This window comes from Homo sapiens, chromosome 16 (genome assembly GCF_000001405.40).
Source record: "Homo sapiens chromosome 16, GRCh38.p14 Primary Assembly".
NCBI lineage: Eukaryota > Metazoa > Chordata > Mammalia > Primates > Hominidae > Homo > Homo sapiens.
This window is the reverse complement of record NC_000016.10, coordinates 30,422,594-30,441,837: the sequence shown is the minus strand read 5'-3', so window position 1 is coordinate 30,441,837 and position 19,244 is coordinate 30,422,594. Positions and strand designations below refer to the sequence as shown.

Below are 19,244 nucleotides of genomic sequence, written 5' to 3'. Positions count from 1 at the left end.
GCCAAGGCGGGCGGATCACCTGAGGTCAGGAGTTCGAGACCAGCCTGGCCAACATGGTGAAACCCCCATCTTTAATAAAAATATAAAAATTAGACAGGCTTGATGGCATGAACCTGTAATCCCAGCTACTCAGGAGGCTGAGGCAGGAAAATCACTTGAACCCAGGAGGCAGAGGATGCAGTGAGCCAAGATCATGCCATTGCACTCCAGCCTGGATGACAAGGCAAAATTCTGTCTCCAAAAAAAAAAAAAAAATTTCTAATAGGAGACATAAAGTTGCAGAAATTTATCAGAAAGTAGCCCCAAAAGGCCAGGCACCTTACTCACACCTGTAATCCCAGCACTTTGGGAGGCCAAGGTGGGCTTGAGCCCATGAGTTCAAGACCAACCTGAGCAACGTGGCGAAAACCTGTCTCTACAAAAAATACAAAAATTAGCAGGCATGGTGGTGTGCACTTGTAGTCCCAGCTTCTCTGGAGGCTGGGGTGGGAGGATCACTTGAGCCTGGGAGATGGAGGCTGTAGTGAGCCAAGATTGCACCACTGCAGTCACCACTGCAGTCCAGCCTGGGTGACACAGTGAGATCCTGTCTCAAAAAATAAATAAGCCGGGCGCGGTGGCTCACGCCTGTAATCCCAGCACTTTGGGAGGCCAAGGCAGGCGGATCACGAGGTCAGGAGATCAAGACCATCCTGGCTAACACGGCGAAACCCCGTCTCTACTAAAAATACAAAAAATTAGCCGGGCGTGGTGGCAGGCACCTGTAGTCCCAGCTACTTGGGAGGCTGAGGCAGGAGAACGGCGTGAACCCGGGAGGTGGAGCTGGCAGTGAGCCAAGACTATGCCACTGCACTCCAGCCTGGGTGACAGAGCGAGACTCTGTCTCAAAAATAAATAAATAAGAAAGTAGACCATGTCGCCATAAAAAAGAATGAGTTCATGTCCTTTGCAGGGACATGGATGAAGCTGGAAGCCATCATTCTCAGCAAACTAACACAGGAACAGAAAACCAAACACTTGCATGTTCTCACTCATAAGTGGGAGTTGAACAAATGAGAACACATGGACACAGGGAGGGGAACATCACACACCAGGGCCCATTGGGGGTTGGGGGCAAAGGGAGGGAGAGCATTAGGACAAACAGCTAAAGCATGCGGGGCTTAAAACCTAGATGACAGGTTGATAGGTGCAGCAAACCACCATAGCACATGTATACCTGTGTAACAGGCCTGCATGTTCTGCACATGTATCCCAGAACGTGAAGTAAAATAAAAAAAAAAAGTAGCCCAAAAAGATGCACAATAAAATAAATTCTATAAAGATCAAATGAGGCAGGAGGTTCAACATCTAAGCGGAGTTCTAGAATAAGGCAGTAAAGCAGATGGAAGAAAAAATATTATCCAAGTTTTCTAGAACTTAAAAGTTGTAAACCACATACCTCTTGAACTCCTAGCACAGTACATTTTAAAAGATCCATGCTAATTTTATTAAATTTCAAAATGCCAGTTATGAAGAAGAGATCCTAATAATAATGAAAGCAAATGTTTATATAGCACATATTCTGTGCAGGAAGTAAGTGCTTTATACGTATTAACCCAATCTTCTAACAACCCCAATTTGCAAATGAGGAAGCTGAGGTATAGGGAGAATAAGAAATTTGTCCAAGCTTGCATAGTCAGTCTTGTAGGCGGTCTGACTCCAGAACCCATGCTTCTGATCACTATGATCACATACAAAGGTGTGGGAATAATGACACACCTTTGTATGTCATCATGACATCAGACTTCACAACCTCAAATTGGAAGCTAAAAAACAATAAAGCAGCCAGGTGCGGTGGCTCACACCTGTAATTCCAGCACTTTGGAAAGCCGAGGCAGGAGGATCACTTGAGCCTAGGAGTTTGTGACCAGCCTGGGCAATACAGTGAGATCCTATTTCTACAAAAAAAATAGAAAATTAAGTTTAGCCAGGCATGGTGGCATGCGCCTGAGGCCGAGGTGCAAGGATTGCTTGAGCAACAGAGTGAGACCCTGTCTCAGAAAAAAAATTTAAAAACAACACACACACAAAAGCAATGCCTTCAAAATTCTGAGGGTAAATGATAATCTCTGTAGAAGTCTACAGCAAGCCACATTTTTCAAATAAGTAAAATAAAGATATCTTGGGGCATACAGGGTATCAAAATGGCTTCATCCCATGTACTTTTTCTCAAGAAACTACCAGAGGATATGCTCCAACAAAACAAGGAAGCAGGCCAGGTGCGGTGGCTCATGCCTATTAATCCCAGTACCTTGGGAGGCCGAGGCGGGCAGATCACGAGGTCAGGAGTTCAAGACCAGCCTGGCCAACATGGTGAAACCTTGTCTCTACTAAAAATGTAAAAAATTAGCCAGGCATGGTGGTGGGTGCCTGTAATCCCAGCTACTTGGGAGGCTGAGGCAGGAAAACTGCTTGAACCCAGGAGGCAGAGGTTGCAATGAGCTGAGATCGTGCCACTGTACTCCAGCCTGGGCGACAGAGCGAGATTGTTTCAAAAAAAAAAAAAAAAAGAAAACCCCGTCTCTACTAAAAATACAAAAATTAGCCAGGCGTAGTTGGTGGCGGGTGCCTGCAATCCTAGCTACTTAGGAGGCTGAGGCAGAAGAATCACTTAAGCCCAGGAGGCGGGGAGGTTGCAGTGAGCCGAAATCGTGCCACTGCACTCCAGCCTGGGTGACAAAGCGTGACTCTGTCTCAAAAAAAAAACCAAAAAATCAAAACAAAACAAAACAAAAAACAAGGAAGCAAACTGAGAAAGAGAAAAACATGAGATTAAGGAAATGCAACCCAGCACAGGAGAGAGGTGAAGGTAATAGCTAAACAGTAGGCTTACAGAGCAACCAGCCCACACTGGACAGGGAGCCTGGAAGGCTTCCAGAAAGGCCTTCCAGAAAAGAAAAATATGAAACTGATATAATATTGATACATTTAATTGTGTGAAAATTGTATTGGCAGGATAATCGAATATGTGAAAACAATTAGTGGCCAGGCATGGTGGCTCATGCCTGTAATCTCAGCACTTTGGGAGGCTGAGGCAGGAGGACTGCTTGAGGCCAGGAATTCAAAAGCAGCCTGAGCAACATAATGAGACTCTGTCTCTACCGAAAAAAAAAAAAAAGAATTTGTGATAATCATTTAGAAAATTAGCAAACGACTGCCAGGCGCGGTGGCTCACACCTGTAATCTCAGCACTTTGAGAGGCTAAGGCGGGTGGATCACCTGCGGTCGGGAGTTTGAGACCAGCCTGACCAACATGGAGAAACCTTGTCTCTACTAAAAATACAAAATTAGCCAGGAGTGGTGGTGGGCACCTGTAATCCCAGCTACTCGGGAGGCTCAGGCAGGAGAATCACTTGAACCCTGGAGGTGGATGTTACAGTGAGCCGAGATCGCACCATTGCACTCCAGCCTGGGCAACAAGAACGAGACTCCATGTCAAAAAAAAAAAAAAAGAGAGAAAAAAGAAAATTCACAAATGACAACAAAAAATGAATCAACACAGCCAAGAATAACCCTGTAAAATAAACCAACTAACCAACTCCAGCCCAAAACAACCTTATAGAACAAATGAAATGTAGTCATACATTTGTATGAGGTATAGGGAGAATAATAATTGAACATTGACTTTTTTTTTTTGAGACAGAGTCTCACGGTGTTGCCCAGGCTGGAGTGCAGTGGCATGATGGCGGGTCACTGCAACCTGTGCCTCCTAGGTTCAAGCGATTCTCCCGCCTCAGCCTCCCGAGTAGCTGGGATTACAGGCAGACACCACCATGCCTGACTACTTTTTGTATTTTCAGTAGAAACAGGGTTTCACCATGTTGGCCAGGCTGGTCTGGAACTCCTGATCTCAAGTGATCCACCTGCCTCGGCCTCCCAAAGTAATCCTGGGATTACAGGTGTGAGTCACCGTGCCTGGCCAACATTGAATATTTACATAGCCAGTTATGTAAATACTATTAACATCAACAACAAAAAATAGGTAAATCAATTCAATCCATTTTTCTCCTGTTCAAAGTGCAGAAACAGCTTTTCCAGCAATTTCCCACCCCTGCTACAGATCTCCAGCTTCATCTCATGGCACTCTCTCTACCTCTCTCACTACCTGCTGGCCCATCAGCCTTCCCTGGGACTTCAAACAAATCAAGATCCTTTGTGCTTGCAGTTCCCGCTGTCTGGAACCTCACCTCACACTCACCTGACTGGCTTGTTCTCAGTCCTGTCTCAGTTCAAATAAAACCTCTTCACAAAGGCCCTTTCCCACCTCCTGGCCAACAACCAGCCACTCTCCAATGCATCACCCTGTTTATTTGCTTTGTAGCTCTTATCCTAGCCTATAATTCCCTTGAGAATGTGTTAGTTCGCTTTAGAATTGTCTCCTTCTGGGCAAGGCATGGTGGCTCATGCCTGTAATCCCAGCACTTTGGGAGGCTGAGGCGGGCGGATCATGATGTCAGCAGTTCGAGACCAGCCTGGCCAACATGGTGAAACCCCGTCTCTACTAAAAATACAAAAATTAGCCAGGCGTGGTGGCGGGCACCTGTAATCCCAGCTACTTGGGAAGCTGAGACAGGGGAATCGCTTGAACCTGGGAGGTGGAGGTTGCAGTGAGCCGAGATCATGCCATTGCACTCCAGCCTGGGCAAGAGGGCAAGACTTTGTCTCAAAAAAAAGAAAAAAAGAAAAAAAAAGAATTGTTCCCTTCTGCTAGTATGTAAGCACCAGGAAGGTAGGGATGTTCAGTATCTCCAGCAGCTAGAACAGTGCCTGGTCCATAGGTACTGACCCTTTCTTTTCACTCTTCTGGGGCTCTTGGTGTCTCCTGCAATTGAAGCTGGTACCACTTTTTTTATTTGAGACTGTAACCCAGACTAAAGTGCAGTGGCACAATCATAGCTCACTGCAGCCTCGACATCCTAGGCTCAAGTGATCCTCCCACCTTAGCCTCCCCTGAGCAGCTGGGACTAGAGGCACACACCACCACACCCAGATAAGTTTAAAAGTGTTTTTGTATAGATGGGGTCTTGCTATGTTGCCTAGGCTGGTCCCTGGCTTCAGGTTGGGCACCATGGCCTGTAATCCCAGCAGTATGGGAGGCCGAGGTGGGCGGATCATTTGAGGTCAGGAGTTTAAGACCAGCCCGACCAACATGGTGAAACCCTGTCTCTACTAAAAATACAAAAAAAATTAGCCAGGCATGGTGGCACAGGCCTGTAATCCCAGCTATTTGGGAAGCTGAGGAAGGAGAATGGCTTGAACCTGGGAGGCTGAGGTTGCAGTGAGACAAGATCACAGCACTACACAGCAGCCTGGGTGACAGAGCAAGACTCTACCTAAGAAAGAAAGAAAGAAAGAGAGAAAGAGAGAGAGGAAGGAAGAAAGAAAGAAAGAAAGAAAGAAAGAAAGAAAGAAAGAAGGAAGGAAAGAAAGAACGAGAAAGAAAGAAAGAAAGAAAAAAAACGAAACGAAACTAACTCCTGGTTTTTCAAGTGATCCTCCTGCCTTGGCCTCCCAAAGTGCTGGGATTACAGGCATGAGCCACTGTGCCTGACCCTATTTCCTTTTAGGAGGAAGTTTAGGAAGGCTTTTCAGACGAGGTGGCCTTGAAACAGGGCTCTGCAGGATGGGTGGCATTTGGATTTGGATGTGCACAGAACGGGGCGGGCATTCCAGATGGAGGAAACTGAGGAAGCAAAGGTGGGGAGGGAAGAGTCCGGAACATCTCTCTGGACTTCAGCAAGTGTGTACAGGGACAGGATGGAAAAGCAGGTTCGAAGAAGACTTCAAAGGGTGTTGGGGACTCTCTGGCCTGAATGAGCTAGGCTGGAGATTCCTAAAAGCCCCTGTTATGACTCTCCCTGAAAAATTTAAGAACAAATATTCTGAATTATAGCAGCACCTTTTCTCCCAGTAGCAGAAGGATGTACTGCAAGCATGGCCTGCTTGCCTGGCCCAATCCATCCAGCCGGCCATTAAACCTTTATTGGCTTGCACTGGAAAAACACCTTTGATTTGAAAAGACTCATGGATCCCGTCTCTTGGGAAGATAGGCTCATAAAGAGCTAGTTACTGGGGCACGGTGGCTGATGCCTGTAACCCCAGCACTTTGGGAGGCTGAGGCAGCAGGATCACTTGAGTCCAGGAGTTCGAGGCTGCAGCGAGCTGTGATTACACCACTGTACTCCCGCCTGGCCAACATGGTGAGACCCCGTCTCTAATAAAAATAAAAAAATTAGCCAAGCGTGGTGGTGTATGCCTGTAGTCCCAGCTACTCGGGAGGCTGAGGCAGGAGTATCATTTGAACAGAGGTTGCAGTGAGCCGAGATCGTGCCACTGCACTCCAGCCTGGGCAACACATCAAGACTCCATCTCAAAATAATAATAATAATAAAATATAAATAAATAAATAAGTAAACATTAATAATATAGAAAACATCTCACTATGTTGCCCAGGCTAGTATCAAACTCCTGGGCTCAAGCAATCCTCCCACCTCAGCTTCCCAAAGCGCTAGTATTACAGAAGTGAGCCACCATGCCTGGCTCCAAATCTTGGTCTTTTCTGCCTAGATTCTTGTGTTAGTTATTCATCTTCAGTTCCTTGACTTTCAGTATTGTCTAAATGATTGAGACTGCCACATCTGAATGTCTAGCCCTGATCTCTCCTCTAAACCTTAGATTCAAAACTTCACTGCCAACTCACCATGCCTCTTCAACTTGCCTTGCCCTAAACCACACGCCTGAGGCCACACGTGTTCAGTCCTGTCCCTCATCTTTTCCATCCCCAAATCAGTCACCATCCACCCACCGGGTTGCCAAACCCTCAAAATCTGTAAGCCATTCTACCCTTTCTCCCATCCCCCATTCAAAACCAACAAAAACCTCCAGATCTACCTTCAAAATACGTTCCCAAGACATCCACTTTGCTCCATCTTCACCCACCATCACCTGGCTCAAGTCACCATCATCTCTTGCCTGGACAACAGCAGTAACTCATCCCCCTGCTTCTACTCTTGCCTCCTCCAGTTCTTTTTTTTTTTTTTTGGAGACAGAGTCTCGCTCTGTTGCCCAGGCTGGAGTGCAGTGGCACAATCATCGCTCCCTGCAGCCTCAAACTCCTGGGTTCAAATGATCTGCCCAAAATATGATCACTCTCCTGCTTAAAACCCTCTGAGGCCAGGCGCGGTGGCTCACACCTGTAATCCCAGTGCTTTGGGAGGCCAAGGCAGGCAGATCACCTGAGGTCAGGAGCTCGAGGCCAGCCTGACCAACATGGTAAAACCCTGTCTCTACTAAAAATACAAAAATTAGCTGGGCGTGGTGGCACATGCCTGTAATCCCAGCTACTAGGGAGGCTGAAGCAGGAGAATTTATTGAACCCGGGTGGCAGAGGTTGCAGTGAGCTGAGATCGCACAACTGCACTTCAGCCTGAGCAACAGAGGGAGACTACATCTACAAAAAAAAAAAAAAAAAAAATCTAAAATGAAACTCGTGGTGAATTGGTCTGATCTGACCTCTTTTTACTTCTCCTACACCGTACACATGCAACCACTCTCTGCTTTGCTCACTGCCTTCCTGCCACACTGCAATATGCCAAGCCTTTCCTGCATTAGGCATTGGTTGTTCCCTCTGCCTAGAACTCTATTCCCCTTGATTTGTCCTCAGCTTAAATGTCACTTTCTCCAAGGCAAGTAACAAAAAACCGAACTAAAAGTAGTTTGACCATTAAAGGGATTCATTTTCTTATATAGCCAGAGTCCGAAATTAGGGTATTTCTGGAACTTGTACAATAAGTGGCTCAGCAATGTTAGGAAGGATCAAGTTCCTTTGTATCTGGCTGACTTGCCAATTTCAGCCTGAGGACTAGGTTTCCTCTCAATCTTCTCTCCATATACCAACATCTAGAGGTAGAAACATCCTGTGTCTTTTGTGGTTTTGTTTGTTTGTTTGTTTGATTTTTTTTTTTTGAGACAGGGTCTCCCTCTGTCACCCAGGCTGGAGTGCAGTGGGCTGATCATAGCTCACTATAACAAACTCCTGGGCTCAAGTGATCCTCCCACCTTAGCCTCCTGAGTAGCTAGGAATACAGGTGCATGCCACCATGCCCAGCTAATTTTTTTTTTAATTTTGTGTAGAGTGTCGCTATGTTGCCAGGGCTGGCCTCAAAAGATCCTCCTGCCTCCACCTCTGAAACTGCTGGGATTAGAGGCATGAACAACCATAGCCAGCCCCTGTAATTTCTTTAAAGAACTAAGAAGAACGTTTCCCAGAAATCCAATAGAGTTCCTCCAACTTGGCCGGGCAGTGGCTCATACCTGTAATACCAGCACTTTGGGAGGCCGAGGCAGGGAGATCACAAGGTCAGGAGATCGAGACCATCCTGGCCAACATGGTTAAACCCTGTCTCTACTAAAATACAAAAAATTAGCTGGGCGTGGTGGCACACGCCTGTAGTCCCGGATACTCAGGAGGCTGAGGCAAGGGAATCGCTTGAACCCAGGAGGTGGAGGTTGCAGTGAGCAGAGATTGCGCCACTGCACTCCAGCCTGGCGACAGAGCGAGATTCTGTCTAAAAAAAAAAAAAGACTTCCAACTTATTATCCATAGCATGCTCATTCATAAACCAATCAATGGCCAGGGCAATGGGAACACTATGACCAGTCAGGCAGAACAATCAAGTGGAGGAGCGTGGACCCCAGAACAAAATCAAGATTCTGTAAGTGGCCGGGCGCGGTGGCTCACGCCTGTAATCCCAGCAATTTGGGAGGCAGAAGGGGGAGGATCACTTGAGGTCAGGAGTTCAAGACCAGCCTGGCCAACATGGTGAAACCCCATCCCTACTAAAAATACAAAAATTAGCTGGGTGTGGTGGTGTGCACCTGTAATCCCAGCTATTTGGGAGGCTGAGGCAGGAGAATCACGTGAACCCAGGAGACGGAGGTTGCAGTGAGCAGAGATCATACCACAGCACTCCAGCCTGGGCGACAGAGTGAGACTCCTAAAAAAAAAAAAAAAAATTCTGCAAGAATAGAAGAGGAGCCAGGCATGGTGATGCTCACCTGTAGTCTTAACTACACAAGTGGGCTGTGATTGTGCCACTGCACTCTAGCCTGGGCAATAGAACCAGAACCTGTCTCCTCCTCAAAAAAGAAAAGAAAAAAGAAAAAGAGAATGGAGAAGAGGAAAAAGAGCAATTAAGTAGGTAACCTACAGTGCTTACTATATATCTTCCTGGACCATGCAATCTAAACATGCCCCCAATCACTTTTCATAGTATATATGTATGTATTTATTGAAACAGGGTCTCACTCTGTCGCCCAGGCTGCAGTGCAGTGGCGTAATCATGTCTCACTGCAGGCTTGACCTCCCTAAGCTCAGGTGATCCTCCCACCTCAGCCTCCCAAGTAGCTGGGACCACAGGTGTGCACCACCATGCCCAGATTTTGTTTTGTTTGTTTTGTTTTGTTTTGTTTTTGAGACAGGGTCTTGCTCTGTCACCCAGGCTAGAGTACAGTAGCACAATCTCGCCTCACTGCAACCTCCATCTCTCGGGTTCAAGTGATTCTCATGCCTCAGCCTCCTGAGCAGCTGGGACTACAAGCATGCACCACCACACCCAGCTAAGTTTGTATTTTTAATAGAGAAAGGGTTTCACCATGTTGCCCAGGCTGGTCTCAAACTCCTGATCTCAAGTGATCTGCCCACCTCCGCCTCCCAAAGTGCTAGGATTACAAGCATGAGCCACTACGCCCAGCCTTTCATAGTATTTAAAATACAGTTACATTTATTTTTTTCATATTTATCGCCATTTCAGGCAATACATCATAGGGTCTAATAACAGACTGTGAAGCCAAACTGCCTGGATTTGACGCCAGCTCTACCACTTTACTAGCTGTTAAGTTATTTAACCTCTCAGTTTCCTTATCTTTTTTTTTTTTTTTTTTTTTTTTTTTTTGAGACGGAGTCTCGCTCTTTCGCCCAGGCTGAAGCACAGTGGCGCGATCTCGGCTCACTGCAAGCTCCACCTCCCAGGTTCACACCATTCTCCTGCCTCAGCCTCCTGAGTAGCTGGGACTACAGGTGCCCGCCACCACACCCAGCTAATTTTTTGTATTTTTAGTACAGACGGGGTTTCACCGTGTTAGCCAGGATGGTCTCGATCTCCTGACCTCGTGATCCGCCCGCCTCGGCCTCCCAAAGTGCTGGCATTACAGGCGTGAGCCACCGCGCCCGGCCTCAGTTTCCTTATCTTTAAAATGGGGATGACAACAATATTACCTACCATATAGGGTTTTTGTGAGGATTAAATTAGTTGCTATGAGGATTAAATATGTAAAATGCTTAAAACAGCCACCCCAGTTCCAGTTCATTCCTGAGGTCCCACTGTATTCTGGAGACACTCTTGTATCCTTACAATAAATTCCTTGTGGCCGGTGGGGGTGGCTCGTGCCTGTAATCCCAGCACTTCGGGAGGCCAAGGCAGGAGGATTGCTAGAGCCCAATCCAGCAATCCTGGTTCAAGACCAGCTTAGGCAACATGGTGAAACCCTGTCTCTATAAAAAATTTAAAAAATAAAAATAATAGATTTCTTTTTCTTGCTAAAAGCAGTTTAAACTTGTTTCTGTTGCATGTATCCAATCTTAACTGCTGGATAATATCATTTGTATAAATATACTTCCATGTAGCCATTCTTCCGTTGATAGTCATTTTATTTTCAATTTTTTTCACTCTTAGAAACAAAACTGTAATGAACTTCTTGCATGTGTCTCTCTGCACATATTCATTAATTTCTCTAGGGCATATACCTAGAATTGCAATTGTCACAGCCTTGGGATTTTAATTTCCAAAATCTGACTCTGCCTCTTCCTGCGCTTTCTTACGCTTTCACTTCCAGCAAGCTGGAAGCCTCTTTAAACGTGGAAATCAGAGATAGTAGCCCTAATAAGGGTACAATAATAAATCATTCTTTGCAAGACTACACCTGTTCTAGGGTTTCATAAAGATCTCTGCTCCTCCCATGGCCAATAACTCAGTGGTTCTGATTTGAAAGCAGCAACCCTGTGACTCGCCACCTCGCGTATTCCCTGGTGTGAGTGGAGCCTGGAGTTCTCGTGTGTGGGGTGGAGGAGCCGTGCTGGGGACCCATGAGGCTGGAGAGGCCGGCACAGGCCAGACCATAAGGGGCCACGTGTTTCAGGGCAATGTACGTTGCGCTGGGGCCTACTGCCTCCCTTAGGACAGGGATGGGGCGACCTCCATCGTTTCAACCACAGGACACAGCGATGGCGGGGAGCTGAAGTCCTACTGCCGTCTGATCTTACTCCGCTCTTCCCCTTCAATCCCATCCAAATAGTGTGGGGGTTGGCCTCGAGGTTTCTCAACGTCCTTAAGCCCTGATTTAATACCTATGCATAGGGCCTTTCATTTATAGGGTTTTCCACCTGACGGGCCCTCTTCCGCTGCCGTTTCGCTTTGGCGCCCTCTGGCGCCCATAAACGAAGTGACGCGCCTGCGCTTCCCCCACCCTCTGCCCTTCGTCTCTTCCCCAGGTCGAATTGGTACCTCTACCTTTAGACACAGGGCCTAGCGGAAGAATTCCAGGGCCTAAGACTAGAAACGCGCGCTTGAAGCTCCCTCAGATTGGTCCAGTGAGGGAAGGGGAGGGCTGTAGCAAACTCCACAAAAGTCATTGGTCTCTTTCCTCAGGCTCCGCCCCGTGAGGCAATAGAGAACTCCCGTAATTGGTCGGAGCTCTGGAGGCGGGGCTTCGAGCGTGGCTCGTGGGTTTTCCGTGAAGTCGCGGTGCAGCGGTGGGCGGCATGTCTGTGGCCGGTGGGGAGATTCGTGGGGACACGGGGGGAGAGGACACTGCTGCTCCCGGCCGGTTCAGCTTCAGCCCGGAGCCCACGCTCGAGGACATGTAAGCAGGCCTGGCCCAGCTCGGGGTGGGGAAGTCGCCCCTTTCTCCCGCGTTTTGGGGAGGGTTCCTCCACGTGGTCGGGAAGCGGGCTGGCAGCGGGGCTCGGGTCCTGGCTCTGTGGGCTGTCCCTGGGTGAGCCTTCTTACCTCATCTGCAAAATGGGCGCAGCGGTGCACACCTGAGGCAAGGGAAATTGGGTGGTGCCTCCGAGTGGTAACTAGGAACGCCCTTCAGCCTAGCCCTGGGAAGATACCGGCACCAGATACCGCCTCTGCTCTCCAGGCGCCGGGGGTACGAGAGGGGCAAACGAAGTGCTGAGAGGTGGGAGACGTTATTTTTTGCTGGAGGAGGTCAAGAAAGGCTTCTTAGAGGAAGGGTCTGTGGAACTACCTTCTGTAAGAGAAATTGCATTTTGATGTGCGGCGATTCCAGGTGGAGGAAACTGCAGAAGTAGCAGCAGGAGATGGAATAATGAAGAGGGTTTTGTTAGTTTTGGCGAGATGTTAAGGGCAGTTCAGGGGCACGCCCATTTTATAGATGAGGGAACCAAGTTCCGGAAAGAGGAAATGACCTGCACAATACCATCCAATGAATTAGTTGCAGAATCTCCTGGTCCCAGGCCCCATTACATACTACGGGGGTAGCTGCCTCTGGCCCCTGCATCACCCTCTAACCCGGAGACTTGGACTTACACTCCTTTGTCCTATTTCAGCCGCCGCCTCCATGCTGAGTTTGCTGCGGAACGAGACTGGGAACAGTTCCATCAGCCTCGGAATCTCCTCCTGGCCTTGGTTGGGGAAGTGGGGGAGCTGGCAGAACTCTTGTGAGTAGATGGAAAGCTTCCTGGTAGAGTCTGAGTTGTGGGGGAGGGGAGGGGAGCATTTATTTGGTCTTCAAACATTCATGGGTTCAGTTTCCCCTCCTGATTGCTAGGCTCTTTGCTGTTGTTGGGATGCAGAGAGGACTCACGGGTCCCTGCCCTCTAGGGGCACTCAGCCTCCTGGAAGAGAGAGGTGTGAGGTGTGAAAGCATCAGGACAGGTCCCGTCTAGGAAGAAGCAGTGGCAACAACCCTTTTCCCTTCTTTTGTTTTTTGTTTTTTTGGCTTTTTTTTGAGACGGGGTCTCGCTCTGTCGCCCAGGCTGGAGTGCAGTGGCTCAATTTCGGCTCACTGCAACATCCGCCTCCTGGGTTTAAGCAGTTCTGTCTCAGCCCCCCGAGTAGCTGGGACTACAGGTGCCCCCCACCACGCCTGGCTAATTTTTGTATTTTTAGTGGAGACGGGGTTTCACCATATTGGTCAGGCTAGTCTCAAATTCCTGACCTCAGGTGATCCACCCGCCTTGGCCTCCCAAAGTGCTGGGATTACAGGGGTGAGCCACCACGCCTGGCCCAACAACCCTTTTCCTCTGCCTCTGGGGCTGAAAGGAAGGTATTCTGTAGAGGACCTGCCTGTGGCATTCCAGACATGGGAACTACATTTGCAGGGGCAGTGAGGCAAGAAAGGGCAAGTTCAATTCAGGGAGAATCTGACGCTCCTTCATTGTAAGCATCTCAGGAAAAATCAGGGATTTGGGATCTGTTTTCTCTGATGTGTCCCAAGTGCCCAGCGCATAGTAGGCGCTCAATAGGCACACGTTGGATGAGTGATAGGGCTGTGGAGGAGAGGGGTGGGAGTTGAACCCACAAAGATATGATTAGGGCTAGAGTATGATGGAGAGTTTGGACAGAAGACCTGACCAGATATGAGTGTTGGAAAGGTCACTGTGTCTACAGGGTGGATTGGATGGATCACTGAGAGAATGGGGCAGGGGACACCAGAGAGTTGGCTGGTGTAGACCAGGCAAGAGGCGATGAGCCCTAGACCAGGACAGTCATTTTTTTAAGAGAAAAGGTCTCACTCTGTTGCTGAGGCTGGAGTGTACTGGTGTGATCATAGCTCACTGAAGCCTCAGGAGCTCAAACGATCCTCCCACCTCAGCCTTCGGAGTAGCTGGGTCTACAGGCGTGCGCCACCACCAAGCCTGGCTAATTTATTTTTACTTTTTGTAGAGATGGGATCTCTCGCTGTTGTTGCCCAGGCTGGTCTCAAACTCCTGGTCTCAAGTGATTCACTTGCCTCACCATCCCGCAGCACTGGGGTTACAGGTTGAACCACTGCACATGGCCTCATGACAGATTTATGAACATCACCTATGTGCTAGGTCTTCTAGAATTGAGATATGGCCTGGAACAAGGCAGAAAGGTTTCCACCTTCACAGTGGAAGGAGATTGACAGTAAATCAGTAATCTCATATTAGAAGATCTGGAATTATGACAAGTTCTATGAGGAAAAGAACACAAGGTGATGACCCAGTCTGGCCAACATGGTGAAACCCTGTCTCTACTAAAAATACAAAAATTAGCCAGGCATGGTGGCGGGCGCCTGTAATCCCAGCTACTCAGGAGGCTGAGGCACAAGAATCGCTTGAACCCAGGAGGCAGAGACTGCAGTTAGCCAAGATCACACCATGGCACTCCAGCCTGGGCGACAGAGCAAGACTCTGCCTTAAAAAAAAAAAACAAAAAAGGGGCTGGGCGGGGTGGCTCACACCTGTAATCCCAGCACTTTGGGAGGCTGAGACGGGCAGATCATGAGGTTAGGAGATCAAGACCATCCTGGCTAACACGGTGAAACCCCGTCTCTACTAAAAATACAAAAAAATTAGCCGGGCGTGGTGGCGGGCGCCTGTAGTCCCAGCTACGCAGGAGGCTGAGGCAGGAGAATGGCGTGAACCCAGGAGGCGGAGCTTGCAGTGAGCCGAGATCGCGCCACTGCACTCTAGCCTGGGCGACAGAGCAAGGCTCCGTCTCAAAAAAAAAAAAAACCCAACGAAAAAGGTCCAGGTGCGGTGGCTCACACCTGTAATCCCAGCACTTTGGGAGGCCGAGGCAGGCAGATCACCTGAGGTCAGGAGTTCAAGACCAGCCTGGCCAACATGGTGAAACCCTGTCTCTACTAAAAAATACAACCATTAGCTGGGCATGGTGGCACACCCCTGTAGTCCCAGCTACTCGTGAGGCTGAGGCAGGAGAATTGCTTGAACCCTGGAGGCAGAGGTTGCAGTAAGCCAAGATTGTGCCACTGCATTCCAGCCAGGGCGACAGAGCAAGACTCCGTCTCAAAAAACAAAACAAAACAAAACAAAAAAGACCAGCCTGGCCAACAGGCTGAAACCCTGTCTCTACTAAAAATACAAAAATTAGCCGGGTGTGGTCACAGGCGCCTATAATCACAGCTACTCAGGAGGCTGAGGCAGGAGAATCGCTTGAATCCGGGAGGCAGAGCTGGCAGTGAGCCAAGATCACGCCATTGCACTCCAGCTTAGGCAACAGCAAGACTCTGTCTCAAAAAAAAAAAAAAACCGGCCAGGTGCTGTGGCTCACACCTGTAATCCCAGCATTTTGGGAGACCAAGGCAGGCGGATCATGAGGTCAGGAGATCGAGACCATCCTGGCTGACACGGTGAAACCCCATCTCTACTAAAAATACAAAAAATTAGCTGGGTGTGGTGGCAGGCGCCTGTAGTCGCAGCTACTCAGGAGGCTGAGGCAGGAGAATGGCGTGAACCTGGGAGGCGGAGCTTGCAGTGAGCCAAGATCGTGCCACTGCACTCCAGCCTGGGCGACAGAGCAAGACTCTGTCAAAAACAAAAACGAACAAACAAAAAACACACAAGGTGACGAGCCAGGAGGTGACATCTAGGCTGAGCCCTGAATAACAGGAAGGAGCTAGCCCTGGGAATGATGGGGGATGGGGAAGCATTCAAGGCAGAGGGAGCAGTGAATGCAAAAGGCCTGTGACAGTCTGGCCTGTGTGCAAGGCAGAACAAGCCAAAGTGGCCTTAGGCGGGGAGTGAGAGTGGGGGGCAGTGGCATTGGAAAAGGCAGGCGTCAGCCCATGCAGGACAGGAGGGCTTTGTCAAGAGTTTAGATTGTATTCCAAGCACAGTTTGTATTTTAGCAGAGAAGGGGAAAAATACAATTTGTGGGGTCTCGTTTTGTTTTGTTTTGTTTAGTTTTTGAGACGGAGTTCTGCTCCTGTTACCAAGGCTGGAGTGTGATGGCGTCATGGCGGGTCACTGCAACCTCCGCCTCCCGGGTTCAAGCGATTCTTCTGCCCTCCTGCCTCAGCCTCCCAAGTAGCTGAGATTACAGGCATGCGCCACTATGCCTAACTAATTCGTATTTTCTGTAGAGATGGGGTTTCACCTTGTTGGCCAGGCTGGTCTCGGACTCCTGACCTCAGGTGATCTACCCACTTCACCCTCCCAAAGTGCTGGGATTACAGGCATGAGCCATGGCACCCAGCCAATTTTTTTTGTTTCATTTTGTTTTGTTTTGTTGTTTTTTTGAGACGGAGTCTTGCTCTGTTTCCCAGGCTGGAATGCTGTGGTGCGATCTCGGCTCACTGCAACCTCTGCCTCCTGGGTTCAAGAATTTCTCTGCCTCAGCCTCCTGAGTACCTGGGATTATAGGTGCCCACCACCATGCCCAGCTAATTTTTTTGTATATTTAGTAGAGACGGGGTTTCACCATCTTGGCCAGGCTGGTCTTGAACTCCTGACCTCATGATCCACCCGCTTCAGCCTCCCCAAGTGCTGGGATTATAGGCGTGAGCCACTGCGCCAAGCCTGATTTGTGCTTTTAAAAGATGGTGTGGGCCGGGTGCGGTGGCTCATGCCTGTAATCCCAGCACTTTGAGAGGCCGAGGAGGGCGGCTCACCTGAGGTCAGGAGTTCGAGACCAGCCTGGCCAATATGGCAAAACCCTGTCTCTACTAGAAAAACAAAATTAGCCGGGCATGGCGGCACATGCCTGTAATCCCAGCAACTCGGAAGACGGAGGCAGGAGAATCGCTTGAACCCGGGAGGCGGAGGTTGCAGTATCGCCCCATTGCACTCCACTCCAGCCTGGGCGACAGAGCGAGACTCCGTCTCAAAAAATAGAAAAGATGGTCTGGGCAGGAGTAGAAGATGAGCTAGCCAGGAGATGAGTGGGGAGGCTTCTGCAGTGGTCCAGGTCCGAGGTTTGGTCTGTGGTGGTGACGGCTAGGGCTGGAGAGAATTAGAATTGGGCCTCAAAGCTTTGTCTCAACAGATGAAACATTCTTTTGGCCACTCCTTGGCCCAGGGAGAGACACAGACATCTTGGTATCATCTGTCGGGGTCTCTTCCCCACCTGACTCTTCCCAGGGCCCAGATTGGTTAGGTCGTCCTTGGAGGTGGGTGTTATTACTGCAAGGACTGGCAGAGCCCATTGCCCCAGGTTACATCTGAGTGTGTGTCTGTCTGTGTTCTGCCCCTAGTCAGTGGAAAACCGATGGGGAACCTGGCCCCCAAGGCTGGTCCCCCAGGGAACGGGCAGCCCTTCAAGAGGAGCTTAGTGACGTCCTCATCTACCTGGTGGCATTAGCAGCCCGCTGCCGTGTGGATCTGCCGCTAGCAGTGCTCTCCAAAATGGACATCAACCGGCGACGCTACCCAGCCCATCTGGCCCGCAGCTCTTCCCGCAAGTATACAGAATTGCCCCATGGGGCCATCTCTGAAGACCAGGCTGTGGGGCCTGCGGACATTCCCTGTGACTCCACAGGCCAGACCTCAACCTAGAAAGATGGCCACAGGACTTGCAACTCAGGGTGGTGTCTGAAGAGCAGAGAGTGGCCTGGCCCTGGAGCCTTTTTCTAGTCTTTTCAGAATAGATCATGGGCCTGAGGCCTCCACTTCTTGAGGTCTGAGGCCCAGCAGCCTCTAGAAGGTAGCCTCCTGGTGTTTGTTCTCCCAGTAAAATGGTTTTGGGCGATAACTTCTAGATTATTCCTGGATGGCCAGGGAGGCTCTCTGTCTCAGCAGGTGATGACGGGGGTACCAGGGGTGCCTCTGAGACCCATTCTCGTGTTTCCCTGTTGTACCTTTTGCCTGCAGGGCAGAGAGATCTGGTTTCTAGCAAATTCCCAGTAGGATGTCATGTAAGTTCCTTCCCCCTCTTAGAGATTGAAGGCTGTAAGAGTCCAGATGGTGGAGCCAGGCTGTCTGGGTTCAAATGCCATCTTTGACACTTGCAAGCTAAATGACATTACTCAAATTAATCGTTCTGCACTTCAGCTTCCTTGTCTATCAAATAAAAAGAATAGTACCTGCCCAATAGGGTCGTGAGGTTTCAATGAGTTATGTGAATGCTCAGGGCGGGGCCTGGCACATAGTAAAGTACACTTGGTAAGTTTTGCAGTTACTGTTATTACCTGTTTTCCTTTTTTTTTTTTTTTTGAGACAGAGTCCTGCTCTTGTAGGCCTGGCTGGAGTGCGGCGGTATGATCTCGGCTCTCTGCAACCTCTGCCTCCTGAGTTCAAGCGATTCTCATGCCTTAGCCTCCCAGTAGCGGGGATTACAGGTGCCCACCATCACGCCCAGCTTTTTTTTTTATTGTTTTGAGACGGAGTCTCACTCTTTCGCCCAGGCTGGAGTGCAGTGGTGTGATCTCGGCTCACTGCAAGCTCCACCTCCCGGGTTCACACCATTCTCCTGCCTCAGCCTCCCGAGTAGCTGGGACTACAGGTGCCCGCCACCACGCCCGGTTACTTTTTTGTATTTTTAGTAGAGATGGGGTTTCACCATGTTGGCCAGGCCGGTCTTGAACTTCTGACCTTAGGTGATCTGCCCACTTTGGCTTCCCAAAGTGCTGGGATTACAGGCCTGAGCCACCGTGCCCAGTCGTTTGCCTTTTTATTTATTTATATATATATTTTGAGACTGAGTCTCGCTCTGTCACCCAGGCTGGAGTGCAGTGGCGTGATCTCAGCTCACTGCAACCTCCGCCTCCCAGGTTCCAGCGATTCTCCTGCCTCAGCCTCCCAAGTAGCTGGGATTAAAGGTGCATGCAACCATATCCGGCCAATTTTTGTAATTTTAGTAGAGATGGGGTTTCACTATGTTGGCCAGGCTGGTCTCGAACTCCTGACCTCGTGATACGCCCACCTCAGCCTCCCAAAGTGCTGGGATTACCGGCGTGAGTCCCCGCGCCTGGCCTTATTTACCTTTTTAACTCAACTATCGGGCCCAGAGCAGGAAATCAGGGTCAGGTCTCTGATGTGGGGCGAAATAGGGCTTCCTCCTTGGTAAAAGTAAAGGCTACCCACCCTGCCACACCAAGGCCAATTTATTGTTTTTCCTCTCCACCTAAAGATAGTGTTGAGGGCCGAGCGTGGTGGCTCACGCCTGTAATCCCAGCACTTTGGGAGGCTGAGGCAG

General features: G+C 49.3%; 1 protein-coding gene across 3 annotated transcripts, besides 4 other annotated features; it reads left to right on the top strand.

Moving 5' to 3' along the window:
- Nucleotides 11,361-11,470: an enhancer, noted in NCBI's record as "active region_10702". NCBI's record gives its function as "activates an Ori minimal core promoter by ATAC-STARR-seq in GM12878 lymphoblastoid cells {active_cell/tissue: GM12878}" and the evidence as "EXISTENCE:reporter gene assay evidence [ECO:0000049][PMID:35858748]".
- DCTPP1 (dCTP pyrophosphatase 1) lies at nt 11,808-18,223 on the top strand. 3 transcript variants are annotated; one of them, NR_134470.2, is made up of 3 exons: nt 11,808-11,983; nt 12,671-12,781; nt 17,305-18,223. NR_134470.2 is itself a non-coding variant. In NM_024096.2 (3 exons), the coding sequence occupies exons 1-3, from the start codon at nt 11,858-11,860 to the stop codon at nt 17,603-17,605; spliced, it is 513 nt and encodes a 170-aa protein (NP_077001.1). In that variant the 5' UTR covers nt 11,808-11,857; the 3' UTR covers nt 17,606-18,223. The 3 variants fall into 3 exon arrangements, 1 of the variants encoding a protein (NP_077001.1); NM_024096.2 differs by having other exon boundaries at nt 11,808-11,958; NR_134471.2 differs by lacking the exon at nt 11,808-11,983 and adding an exon at nt 12,038-12,249.
- Nucleotides 11,871-11,950: an enhancer, noted in NCBI's record as "active region_10701". NCBI's record gives its function as "activates an Ori minimal core promoter by ATAC-STARR-seq in GM12878 lymphoblastoid cells {active_cell/tissue: GM12878}" and the evidence as "EXISTENCE:reporter gene assay evidence [ECO:0000049][PMID:35858748]".
- Nucleotides 12,704-13,204: an enhancer, noted in NCBI's record as "H3K4me1 hESC enhancer chr16:30439955-30440455 (GRCh37/hg19 assembly coordinates)". NCBI's record gives its function as "activates a minimal SCP1, AML or CMV promoter by ChIP-STARR-seq in primed H9 embryonic stem cells {active_cell/tissue: H9 hESC(primed)}" and the evidence as "EXISTENCE:reporter gene assay evidence [ECO:0000049][PMID:30033119]".
- Nucleotides 13,205-13,705: an enhancer, noted in NCBI's record as "H3K4me1 hESC enhancer chr16:30439454-30439954 (GRCh37/hg19 assembly coordinates)". NCBI's record gives its function as "activates a minimal SCP1, AML or CMV promoter by ChIP-STARR-seq in primed H9 embryonic stem cells {active_cell/tissue: H9 hESC(primed)}" and the evidence as "EXISTENCE:reporter gene assay evidence [ECO:0000049][PMID:30033119]".
- Nucleotides 18,224-19,244: the final 1,021 nt, after the last annotated feature.

Coding starts and splice junctions, on each gene's coding strand:
- DCTPP1 (NM_024096.2), top strand. CDS start 11,858: ATGTCTGTGGCCGGTGGGGAGATTCGTGGGGACACGGGGGGAGAGGAC. Junction 11,959..12,670: donor GAGCCCACGCTCGAGGACAT/GTAAGCAGGCCT, acceptor GTCCTATTTCAG/CCGCCGCCTCCATGCTGAGT. Junction 12,782..17,304: donor GGGGAGCTGGCAGAACTCTT/GTGAGTAGATGG, acceptor TTCTGCCCCTAG/TCAGTGGAAAACCGATGGGG.